At 48.0% G+C, this 13,268-nt stretch overlaps 1 long non-coding RNA gene across 1 annotated transcript; it reads right to left on the bottom strand.

The window, feature by feature from the left end:
- Positions 1 to 1,599: 1,599 nt before the first annotated feature.
- On the bottom strand, positions 1,600 to 6,464 carry LOC105379264 (uncharacterized). The gene is made up of 4 exons (XR_949065.3): positions 6,390 to 6,464; positions 6,131 to 6,235; positions 3,993 to 4,068; positions 1,600 to 1,683 (listed from the first exon to the last, which is right to left on the bottom strand). It is a non-coding gene; the product is annotated as an uncharacterized LOC105379264 (long non-coding RNA).
- Between the last annotated feature and the right edge of the window lie 6,804 nt (positions 6,465 to 13,268).

Below are 13,268 nucleotides of genomic sequence, written 5' to 3'. Positions count from 1 at the left end.
TGACAGGAATCATGAACATTGCTTGGACTCCAGCACAAGGCCACTCATTCTTTCAGGTGAGCCTTGATTTTTCTTTGCTTTCATGGAGAATTCACAGTGCTCCTCAACAGCACTACTGGACATCCTTTTCAGGCTTGCTGTCACCACAGGCAGCCTCTGAGATGGTGTCACAACCTCATGTGAACCCATGAGGGGCAAGTTCAAGGTGTGAGAACAGTGTTCATCTTATACTTGCCTTGTCTGGCTTCCTGCCTTTCCCAGAGAGCCTATGCGATGCCCCAGATGAAGGGAGGCAGAGAGGTCAAGAGCCTGGTCATCTTTTGCTGACACCCACCTGTGGGGTCTCAGGTATGATGCTATCACCCAAAAGTACCCTCTAGAACACACCAGACTATATATCAATCGTTATGGGACTCAATTCTTTAACACAGCCTCCTTCGGGAATTGACTCAGAAGAGCAGTTTCCACGACCACCTCATGGTCTTGAAATGCCTCCTCCTCCAGTGGAACACAATCATGAAGATGGCTTGAATAACCCCCAAAGTTGAGACTTTTAGGGTCCTGCAATGTGTTTCACAGGCAGCTTATTTCCTGATACCAGACTGACTCTGCCTCTGCCATTTTCCTCTGCTTAGGCAGGCTGACGGGTCTGAGAGCCAGCGCTAAAACCTGCCTCATTAATGTGCATGCACTAGTCTCAGGGCACCAGGCCTGATTGTGAGCTCTGGCTAGCTTCACAATGAATGCCACCTTTGCCTAGTGACAAGTCCCTGAAGCTTGGCAGATAAAGAGACCTCTGTGGAGGTGCATCAGCAGTGGACTCTTGACTGTCTTCTCTGTTGGATCGATGGGATAGTCCCATGATCCCAGGAAAGGGCAGGCATGAGGCAGCCAGAAGTAACATCAAACAGAGCCCCAGGAATAAACTGTGAAATCCCTGAGAATACAAAACAATCTGCAGAATTCTTCAAACCTGTTTAGACTTTGTAGGGTTGAGTCTTTTTGAAATTGCTCTACTGTGATATCCAGGTATAGTGGCTGTGTTCCCCGAGGTTGCTCTCTGCCAGATGGGGCTTCCTGCAGAACCACACAGCCTCAGGAGCTGCCAGCCTGTGTGTTTCTGTGAAAGTATTGAGAGTGTTGGATGTCTGTGTGTGTGTGTGTCTGTGTGTGTGCGTGTTAGAATATAAGTGGAGTATTCTTAAAGGAATATGGCTAACACATTTTAGCACTTCTTTTTTTTGAGTTTCCCAGCTTTTTGGTGGCTTGTCTGTACAGCACTGCTTGGGCTGTGGGGCTCCATGTTCTTTAGTTTTCTGTGGATCATAAATCCCCAGTGAATTGGGAGGCAGCCTGAGACCCACCAGTGTCAAACTCACCTCTCACTCCAAAAGAAAGCCACTCTTAGAAAAAAGGGGAGCACACCACATGAAAAAACAGTCATCTCTGAGTGTTTCATTGTCCTGCAGCCAATGCAGGAAGATACACTAGCAGTCCTGTCCACAGGGCCCTTGAATTTACCTCAAATTCAGGTCCCAGCCACGCAGTTGCTTCACATCATAAGGGGGCAATACTCCATCGTCTTGGGTTTTCATTTTTGGACATAGAGTGTGAGCAACAATAAGGTCAGACAAGAGTGAGGATAAAATCTGGTGGGAATTGGATGAGATCCCACAACTTCACCTGCAAAAAAATGAAGACAGATGACACAGAAGGTACTTCCAACTCCATCCCAACATTCCCTTAATTGCACAAGCAGTCCACACCATGGCCCGGTGTTCAGGTGAAAGTACTCCAATGTGCAAGAAATATTTGGGGTGCAAACTGGGGTCATCCTGGCAAACTCTCAATTTGCAGGCTTTCATACTGGGAGCAAAATGGGAATGAAATGGATTGATGGTAGGTGGGAAGTGGCCTCCACACTTGCCCCTTCTTTCTCTGACTTCCATGTTTCTTGTCAGTGTAGGGTTTCCTGTGTCTGGCTCAATGACTTCTACAAAACATGTTTCTCAGTTCACAGAGAATGACCCTAATGGGAATCCATTGCATGAGTGTTTCCTTCTAAACCCTTTCACAATTTAATGACTGGGCAGCTTTGATACTTCTAAAACGGTAAATTCCCTTATAGCCGCCAACAAGGAAACTCTTGTATTTTTCACTTCTGTTGGCATTCTGCATGATTCCTGTAGGGTGAGAAGAAGTCAGCCCTGTCTGGCTTTTGCCTGGTAGTCTAGCCTCTGATTTTTTTCATCTGCATAGTCATCTTACTGAGCAGGTATTCTTTCACTGGGCTGTAGCTGGATGGGACTGCCTCTCACCAAAGATTATTTTGCTTCCCGGGATTTCAAAGAGCAAAAGGGACTTTGAGGAGTGTGGCTGTGCTCCAAGTTTCGAGTTGTTGTCTCATTGTGGGGGCTGAAGTTGTTTGCAATTTGGGAGGCTTTTGGGTTCTCTGACAGGAAGCATTGAACATTGCTTAAACTCCAGCTCAGTGCAGCTCATTCTGTCAGGTGAGCATCGATTTTTCTTTGCTTTTATGGGCAATCCACAGTGTCCTTCAACAGCTCTACTGGATATCCTTTTCAGGCTTGCCATCATCAAAGATGACCTCTGAGACATGGTCTCTACCTCATCTTCACCCATAAGAGGTCAGTCCAAGGTGTGAGAATATGGTTCAAACTTTGACTTGCCTTTTTCATGGTTCCTGCATTTCTCAGAGAGCCCCTGCTAGGCATAGGATGATGGAGGTAGTGAGGTCAAGAGCCCAGACATCTTTACTAAAAAATGCCTCTGGAGTCTCAGGTATGATGCTATGACCCAAAGAACCATCAACAACACACCAGACAGACTATATGCCAATCACCATGGGACCCGAGTCTTGAAGACACACATTCTCTTTTGGGAATGGATTTCAAACGGCAGTTTTCAGTGACCACCTCACAGTCTTGAAACACCTCATCCTCCATCAGGACGCGAAGACAGAGATGGTCCAAATGAGTCCTGAGGTTGAGGCTTTTATTGTCCCGCCATGGGTCTTCACAGGCAGCCTTTTTCTTGATAGCAGGCCAGCTCCGACTGTACCATTTTCCTCTGCTTAGGCAGGCTGAACGCTGTTACAGCAGTACACATAAGCATGTCTCAGGAATCCACATGAGCTACTCTCAGGGCACCAGTCCTGAGTGTGAACTCTGTCTAGAGTCACAGCGAATGTCACCGTTGCCTAGCGACAAGTCCCCGCGGCTTTGTGGAAGAGACTCCCAAGGAGGAGACCTCCATGGAGGTTCGTCGGCTGTGGTCTCTCACCTGTCTACTCTGTGAGATCCACAGGATAGTCCCATAATCCTAGGATAGGGAGGACGTGAGCCAGCCTGAAGAAACATCAAGAAGAGCTCCTGCCAAATCCCTAAGGATCAAAAAGCATCTGCATGATGTCTAGATGTTGGAAGGGTGAACCTTTTTGGAACTTGTCTTACTGTGATTTTTAGGTACAGCCCATTTATTTTCCTTGGAGTTGCTCTGTCTCAGATGGGTCTTCCTGCATAATCCCACAGCCTGAGGAGTTGACAGTCTGTGTGTTTTTTTGGGGGTGTTGCAAGTGTTGGATGTCTGCCTGCGTGTGTTTTATTGTGTGTTTGTGTGTGTGTGTGACATTAAGTGGAGTCTGCTTAAAGGAATGTGGCTAAAGCACTTCAGCGGTTCTTTTTTTTTTTTTTTGAGTCTACTAACCTTTTGGTGGCCTGTCTGTATGACTCTTTTGGGCTGTGGGGCTCTGTGTTATTTATCTTTCTGTGAATAATGAATCCTCAGTGACTTTGGAGGCGGACCAAGCCTGCTGGGGACCAAGGTATCTCCCTGTGCAATAAAAGCCACTCTTCTAGAAAGAAGAGGAGCACACCATACCAAAAAAACAGACATTTCCAAGTGTTTCATTTTCCTGCAGCCAACCCAGGGAGAGACACTAGCAGTCCAGTCCTCAGGGCCCCTATATTTACCTCAAATTCAATTCCCAGCTGAGCAGGTGCTACACCATTGTGAGGGGACACTCCTCCCTCATTTTGGGATTTCATCCTGGGACACAGAATATGAGCAGAAATAACATCAGATAAAGGTGAGGATATAATCTGAAGACAAGGGGAAGGGGTCCTGCAACTTCACCTGCAAAAAGATGAAGACAGATGACAGAAGGTGCTTCCAATTCTGTGCCCACATTCCCTTAATTTCACAAGCAGTCTACACCATGTCCCGGAGTTCAGGTGGCAGTACTCCTATGTTTAAGGAACATGTGGAGTGCAAATTGAGGCCATCCTGGCAAACTCCCGATTTAAGGGCTTTCATACCTACAGCCAAATGGAGTGGAATGGTTTGATGCTGGGTGGGATGTGGCCTCCATACTTGCATGTTCTTTTCCTGACTTCCATGCTCCTGGTCACCCTAGGGTTTCCTGGGTCTGGCTAAATGACTTCCACACTAAACGTTTGCCTGTTCCTGGAGAATGACCCTCAGTGGAATCCACTGCATGAGTGTTTTCTTCCAAACACTGTCACGTTTTAATGACTGGGCAGTTTTGATACTTTTAAAACCATAAATTTCCATTTCAGCCACCAACAAGGAAACTCTTATTCTCCCACTTCTATCAGAGGCCTGCATGATTCCTGTAGGAGGAGAAGAAGACAGCTGTGTGTACGTTTTACCTGGCAATCTAGGCTCGGTTTCATTAAATCTGCATGGCTCTCTCTCACTGTGGAGGGGCTCATTCATTGAGCTGTTGCTGGAAGGGACTGCCTCTCACTACAGATTGTATAGCTTCTTGGGGTTTCAGAGAGCGAAAGGGACTTTGAGTAGGCTTACTGTGCTCCAGGTTTTGGTCTATGGTCACGTTTTGGGGGCTGAAGTTGCTGGCACTTTGCAGTAGGCTTTTGGGTACCCTGACAGAAATCACTGAACATCGATTGGACTCCAGCACAAGGCAGCTCATTTTCTCAGGCAAGCCTTATTTTTTTCTTGCTTTCAGGGAAAGTCCACAATGCCTGTTAACAGCACTGCTGGACACAATTTTCATGCTTACTATTACCACAAATGGCCTCTGAGACACTGTGTCAACCTCATCTGCACCAAGGAGAGACCAGTCTGAGGTGTGAGACAACTGCTCCACCTTGGGCTTTCCTCTGTCATGGTTCCTGACTTTTCCAGAGGGCCCCTGTGAGGCCCAGAATGAAGGGAGGCCATGAGGTCAAGCTCGGGCATCTTTCACTGATGCCCATCTCTGGGGTTTCAGGTATAATTCTTTCACCCAAAGAACCCCAACAACACAACAGATTCTATTCCAATCTCCATGGGACCAGATTCTTGCACACAGCCTCTTTGAGGAATAGAGTCTGAAGAGCAGTTTCCAGTAACAACCTCACAGTCCTGAAATGCCTCCTCCTCCAGTGGGAACCAACCATGGAGATGGCCCAAAGGGGCCCTGAGGTTGAGACTTTTAGAGTCTCACAGTGGGTTTTCACAGGCATCGTTTTTCTTGATACCAGGGCGGCTCTGCCTGTAGCATTTTCCTCTGCTTAGTCAGGCTGAGAGCTCTGACATCTGGGTGCCAGAGCCTGCCTTATGAATGTTCATGAGCTAAGCTCAGGGAACCATTCCTGATTTTGAGCTCCAGAGGAGACCTCTGTGGAGGTGCATTGGCGGTGCACTCTTTGCCTGTCTTCTATGTGGGATCCACAGAATAATCTCATGATCCTAGGAGATGGCAGATGTGAGGGAGCCTGAAGAAATGTCAAGCAGAGCCCTAGGAATAAACTGCAAACTCCCTAAGGATCCAAAAGCATCTGCAGGATTCCTCAGATCTGCCTAGATGTTTTAGGGGTGAGTCTTTTTGAAACTTGCCCCTCTGATATTTTTAGGTAAAGCCCTCCTGTGTTCCCCGGGGTTGCTCTTTTCCAGGTGGGGCTTCCTGCAGAAACATACAGCCTCAGAAGCTGCCAGGTTGTGTGTTCCTTTGGGAGTGTTTTGAGTGTTGGATTTCTGTGTGTGTGTGTGGCATTGTGTGTTTGTGTGTGTGTGCCTGCAAATGGAGTCTGCTTAAAAGAATGTGGCTAACACACTTCAATCCTTCTTTATTTGAGTCCCTCACCTTTTCTTTTGGTTGCTTGTCTGTGTGGCTCTGCTTGGGCTGTGGGGCTCCATGTTTTCTATTTTTCTGTGGATCATGAATACGCAGTGTCTAAATCACCTTCCTCTGGAAAAAAATAAAAAAAAACACTCTTCTAGAAAGAAGAGAAACACATCACACCAACACACCAAAAAACAGATGTCTCCCAGTGTTTCACTGTCCTGCGGTCAACCCAGGAAGAGACACTAGCAGTCCTGTCTGCAGGACCTCTTGAATTTACCTTGAATTCGGTTCCTAGCTGAGCAAGTGCTTCAGGTTGAAGGGGCACTCCTTCATCATCTTGGGATTTCATCCTGGAACATAGAGTGTGAGCAGAAATAAGGTCAGATAGGGATGAGGATACAATCTGGTGAGGAGTGGATGGGGTCCTGCAACTTCAACTGCAAAAAATATATGAAGACAGATGACACAGAAGGTGCTTCCATTCCCATCCCCCTATTCTGTTAATTGCACAAGCAGTCCAACCATGACCTGGTGTTCAGGTGGAAGTAATCCAACATGCAGGGAATATTTGGAGTGCAAATTGGGCCCATCCTGGCAAAGTCTGGATTTATGTTTTTCATACCCATAGCCAAATGGAAATGGGATGGGTTACTGCTGGGAGGGCTATGGCCTCCAAACTGGCCTCTTCTTTTCTTGACTTCCATGTTGCTTATCGGCCTAGGGTTTCCTGGGTCTCTGCCCAGTGACTTCCACACTAAACCTTTCTCAATTCTCAAGAACCACCCTCATGGGAATCCATTGCGTGAGTGTTTTCTTCTAAACCCTGTCAGGTTTTAATGACTGGGCAGCATTGATAATTTAAACCTGTAAATTGCCTTTACAGCTGCCAACAAGGAAACTCTTGTTCTTTCACTTCTTTCAGAAGGCTGCATGATTCCTGTAGGATGAGAAGCAGGCAGCCGTGTTTGGCTTTTGCCTGGTAATGTAGCCTCTGCTTCGTTTCATCTGCATGGTCTTCTCATTGCTGAGTGGATCTTTCATTGTACTCTTCCTGAGTGGGACTGCCTATCACCACACATCTTTTGGTTGCCAGTAATTTCAGGGAGCAAAACGGACTTTAGGTAGGCTGGCTACACTCCAGGTTTTGGGTGGTGGTCTCATTTTGGGGGCCAAGTTTGTTTGCACTTTGCCAGGGGCTTTTGGGTCTTCTGATAGAAATCTTTTAACATTGCTGTGTCTCTGGCACTAGTCAGCTCGTTCTCTCAGGCGAGCTTTGATTTTTCTTTGCTTTCACTGGGGAGTCCACATTGCCCTTCAACAGTGCTACTGGACACCATTCCAGGCTTGCATTCGCCACAAATGGGCGCTGAGACACTGTCTCAACCTCATTTGCACCCGTGAGAGGCCAGTTCGAGGTGTGAAAACACTTCTCCAACTTGGACCTCCTTTTGTCATGGTTCCAGCCTTTTCTCAAGAGCCCCTGTGAGGCCAGGATGAAGGGAGGCAGTCACATCAAGGGCCTGGCCATCTTTCACAGACACCCTCCTCTGGGGTCTCAGGTATGATTCCATCACCCGAAGACCCCCGGAAACTCACCAGACTATATTCCAATTCCCATGGGACTTGATTCTTACACACAGCCTCTTTCAGCCATGGAGTGAGAAAAGCAGTTTCCAGCGTCCTCCTCACAGTCTCAAAATGTGTCCTCCTTCAGCGAGACCAGACCACAGAGAAGACCCGACAGAGCTCTGAGGTCGACGCTTTTAGTGTCCCACAGTGGGTTACTGCAGTCAGCCTTTTTTCCCATAACAGGCCGGCTCTGGCTGTACCATTTTCCTCTGGTTAGGCAGGCTGACAGCTCTGACAGCCAGGCGCCCAACCTTGCCTCGTGAATGCGCATGCGCTAGTCTCAGGGCACCAGACCTGAACTGTGAGCTCTGGCTGATGTCTCAATGAATGCCACCACCATTGCCTAGAGACAAGTCCCTGTGGCTTAGCGGAGAAGGAAACATCTGCGGAGGTGGGTCGGCCACAGACTTTCGCTTGTACTGTTTGTGGGACCCTCAGCATAATCTCATGATGCTAGGAGAATGCTGATGTGAGCCAGCCTAAGGAAACCTCAAGCAGAGCCGCAGGAATTCACTACGAAATCTCTTAAGTGTCCAAAAGGATCTGCAGAATGCCTCAGGCCTACCTAGACTTTGCAGGGGTGAGTCTTTTTGAAAATTATCCCACTGTGTTTTCTAGATACAGCCTGCATGAGTTCCCCAGGGTTGCTGTCTCCCAGGTGAAGCTTCCTGCAGAACCACGCAGCCTCAGGAGATGCCGGGCTGTGTTTTTCTGTCAGAGTGTTGTAAGTTTTGGATGTCTGCATGTGTGTGTGGCTTTGTGTGTTTCGCTGTGGAAAAGACTGCTAGTGTCTCTCCCTGGGTTGGCTGCAGGACAATGGAACACTGGGAGACCTGTTTTATGGTGTGGTGTGCTCCTCTTCTTTCTAGAAAAGTGGCTTTTTTTGTTATTGCTGTTGTTGTTCTGCTGGCAGAGGTGATTTGGACGCCAGCGGGTCATGGCACGCCTCCCAATTTGCTGCGGATTCACGATCCACAGAAAAATAAAGAAAACAAAGCCCCGCAGCCTAAGCAGAGCCACAGAGACAGGACAACACTAGGTTGGGAGACTAAAAAAAAAAAAAAAAAAGGTGCTTAAGTGTGTTAGCCTCATTCCTTTAAACAGACGCCACTTACTGGCACATACACACACACACATACACACACAGGCAAACATCTAACACTTGCAAGTCTCCCAGAGAAACACACAGTCCAGCAGCTGCTGAGGATGCGTGGTTCTGCAGGAAGCCCCATCTGGGAGACAGCAAACTCGCGGAACACAGGCGGGCTGTATCTAGAAATCACAGTGGGGCAAGTTTAAAAAAGACTCACCCCTACAACGTCTAGGCAGGCCTGAGGAATCCTTCAGATCCTTTTGGATTCTTAGGATTTTGCAATTTATTCCTGAGGTCGTGCTTGAGGTTTCTTCAGGCTGGCTCACGTCTGCCCTAGGATCATGGGAGTATCTGGTGAATACAACAGACGAGACGCAAAAGCCCACTGCCAAGGCACCTCCACGAGGTCTCCTTCGCCGCAAAGCCGCAGGGACTTGTAGTTAGGCAACTGTGACATTCGATGTGACACAAGCAAGGGCTCATAATCAGGCCTGAGTCCTTGAGTCTAGCGCATGCGCATTCGTGAGGCAGGCAAGGCCTCCAGGCTAGCAGAACTGTCAGGCTGCCTAAGCACAGGAAAATGTACAGTCAGAGCCGACCTGGTGTTGAAGTAAAGGATGCCTGCAAACACCCACTGCAGGGCACTAAAATTCTCGACCTCAGGGCCCCTTGGGCCATATCTGTGGTTGGGGCCTCCTGGAGGAGGAAGCTTTTTGAGACTGTGAGGTGGTCGCTGGAAACTCCTCTTCTGACTTTATTCTCCAAAGGGGCTGTGTGCAAGAATCAGGTCCCATGGGGACTGGAATATAATCTGCTGTGTTTTTGAGGGTTCTCTGGGTGATAGAAACGTGCCTGAGAACCCAGAGGTGGGTGCCAGTGAAAGATGGTCAGACTCTTGACCTCACTGCCACCCTTCATTCTGGAGCTGTCTGGGAAAGGCAGAAACCATGACAAAGGCAAGTCCAAGGTGGTGCAGTGTTCTCACACCTCGGACTGGCTTCTTGTAGGTGCAGATGAGGTTGAGAGAGTATCTTGGAAACGTCTGTGGTGGTGCCAAGTCTGAAATTGTGTCCAGTAGTGCTGTTAAGGGGCACTGTGTATTCCCCTTGAAAGCAAAGAAAAATCAAGGCTCAACTGAGAGAAAGAGCTGCCTTATGGTGAAATCCAAGCAATGTTCAAAGACTCCTGTCAGAGGACCCAAAAGCCTCCTGCAAAGTGCAAACAACCTCAGCCCCCACAATGAGACAACAACCCACAACCTGGAGTGCAGCCAGCCTACCCCAAGTCCCTTTTGCTCCCTGAAATCCCTGGCAGCCAAAAGATCTGGGGTGAGAGGCAGTGCAATGCAGCAACAACCCAATGAAAGAGCCCCTCCACAATGAGAAAGGACTTGAAGATGAATTGAAACAGAGGCTAGATTACCAGGCAATATCAGACATAGCTGCCTGCTTCTCATCATACAGGAATCTTGCAGCCCTCTGAAAAATAAGTGGGAGAATAGGAGTTTCCTTTTTGGTGGCTGTAACTGACATTTACAGTTTTAAAAGTATCAAAGCTGCCCAGTCATTAAAACACGACAGTGTTTAGAAGGAAACACTCACACAATGGATTCAAATGAGGGTCGTCCTCCATGAACTGGGAAACCTTTATTGTGGTAGACATTTAGACAGACCCAGGAAAACCTAGGCCAATGAGGGAAATGTAAGTGAGGAGAAGAGGAGACAAGTGTGAAGGTCACATCCCACCAAACATCAATCCATCCCACACCCATTTAGTTCTGGGTATGACAGCCCTGAAATTGGGAGTTTGCCAGGATGGCCGAGTATGCACTCCAAATGTTCCCTGCACGCAGAAGTACTCCCAAGCCATGACATGGACGGCTTGTGCAATTAAGCAAATGTGGGGATGCTGTTGGAAGCACGTTCTGTGCCATCAGTTCTTTACTATTTTTGCAGGTGAAGGTGCAGGTCTGCATCCAAACCTCACCAGATTATATCCTCACCCCATCTTACCTTACTGCTGCTCACACTGTTTGTCCCAGAATAAAATCCCAAGACGATGGCGGAGTGCCCCCTCATGACACGAAGCACCTGCTCTACTGTGAACCAAATTCAAGGTAAATTCAAGGGGCCCTGCCTTCAGGACTGCTGGTGTTTCTCCCTGGGTTGGCCACAGGACAATGAAACACTGGGAGATGTTTCTTCTTGGGTGAGGTGTGCTCCTCTTCTTTCGAGAAGAGTGGCTTTTTTTGCAGGTTCAGGATATTTGGACCATAGTGGGTCACAGCCAGCCTCCCAAATCACTGAGGGTTCTTGATCCACAGAAAAATAAAGAACACAGAGCCCCACAGCCCAAGCAGAACCACACAAATAGGCTACCAAAAAGTTGAGAGACAAAAAAAAGCACTGCAGTGCGTTAGCCTAATTCATTTAGTTAGACTCCATTTAACACACACACATACACACACACCACAAAGCCACACACACATGCAGACATCCAAACTTACAACACTCCCACAGAAACTACAGGCCTGCAGGTTCTGAGGCTGGGTGGTTCTGCAGAAATCCCAAACTGGGAGAGAACAACCCCAAGTAACACAGGAGGGCTGTACCAAGAAATCACAGTGGGGCAAATTTCCAAAAGATTCACCCCTTGAACATCTAGGCAGGCCTGAGGCATCCTGCAGATTTTTTGAATCCTTAGGGATTTTGTGGATTATTCCTGGGCTCTGTTTGACCTTTCTTCATGATGTCTCACATATGCTCTCTCCAAGGATAATGGGACTATCCTATGAATCCCTCAGAGAAGACAGGTGAAAGAAAGTTCACTGCCAACACCCATACACAGAGATCGCCCTCTTCACCAAGCCTCAGGGACTTGTTGCTAGGCAATGCTGTCATTCATTATGATGCTTGCCAGAGCTCAGAGCTCTGGCCTGGTGCCAGGAGACTAGTGCATTTGCATTCTTGTCACAGGCTCAGCAGCCCATCTGTCAGAGCTGTCAGCATGCCTAAGCAGAGAAAAATGGTATAGGCAGAGCTGGCCTGGTGTTGGGAAAATGGCTGCCTGAGATAATCCACTGAGAGACCCTAAAACTCTTGACCATAGGTCTTCTTCAGGCCATCTTGCTGGTCAGGTTTCACTTGAAGGAGGAGGCATTTCAAGACTGTGACCTGGTCACTGGAAACTGCACCTCTGACTTCATCCCTGAAAGAGTGCAGAAATCAGGTCCCATGGTGATTGGAATATAGTCTGGTGAGCTGTTGAGGGGTCTCTGGTTCATGGAGTCATACCTGTGACCCCAGAGGCAGGTGTCAACAAAAGATGGCTGTGCCCTGAATATCATTGCCTGCCTTCATCCTGGGCCTCGCAGGTGCTCTCTGGGAAAGGCAGGAACCACAACAAAGGCAAGTCCATGGTGGGGCAGTGTTCTCACACCTCCAACTGGCCTCTCATGGGTGCAGATGAGGTTGAGACAGTGTCTCAGAGGCCATTTGTGGCAATTGTAAGCCTGAAAATGGTGTGCAGTAATGCTGTTTAGGGGCAATGTCTACCTTCCATGAAAGCAAAGGAGTGAGTGAGAGAATAAAGGCTCGAGTGAGAGAATCAGCTAACTTGTGCTGAAGTCCAAGCAATACTGAAAGGCTTCTTTCAGAGAACCCAAAAGCCACCTGCAAAGTGCAAACAACCTCAGTCTCCAAAATGAGACCACAACCCACAACCTGGAGTGCAGCCAGCCTACCTGAAATCTCTTTTGCTCCCTGAAATCCCTGGGGGCTAAAAGATCTGTGGTGAGAGGCAGTCCCATACAGCAACAGCCCAATGAGCAAGGACATGCAGGCACAATGAAACAGAGTCTAGATTACCAGGCAAATGCCAGACATGGCTGCCTCCTACAGGAATCATGCAGCCCTCTGATAGAAGTGGGAGAACAAGAGTTTTCTTGTTGGTGGCTGTAATGGGAATTTACAATTTTAAAATACCACAACTGCCCAGTCATTAAAACATGACAATGTTTAGAAGGAAACACTCACACAATGGATTCTCATGAGGGTCATCCTTGGTGAACTGGGAAATGTTTAGTGTGGAAGACATTGAGCCAGACCTAGGCTCCCAGTATGAAAGCCCTCAAATTGGGAGTTTGCCATGATGGCCCCAGTTTGCACTCCAAATATTCCCTGCATGTTGGAGTACTCCCACCTGAACAGCAGGCCATGGTGTGGACTGCCTGTGCAGTTAGGAGAATGTGGGCATGCAGTTGGAAGTACTTCTGTGTAATCTGCCTTCACTTTTTTTCAAGTGAAGGTGTGGGACCCCATCTACCCCTCACCAGATTGCATGTACACCCCTAACTGACCTTACTGCTGCTCACACTCTGTCCCAGAATGAGATCTCAAGATGATAGAGGAGTGCCCCCTCATGAAGTGAAGCTCC

The sequence above is a fragment of the Homo sapiens genome, chromosome Y, assembly GCF_000001405.40.
Source record: "Homo sapiens chromosome Y, GRCh38.p14 Primary Assembly".
In the NCBI taxonomy this organism is placed as follows: Eukaryota; Metazoa; Chordata; class Mammalia; order Primates; family Hominidae; genus Homo; species Homo sapiens.
This window is presented reverse-complemented; position numbering and strand designations above follow the sequence as displayed.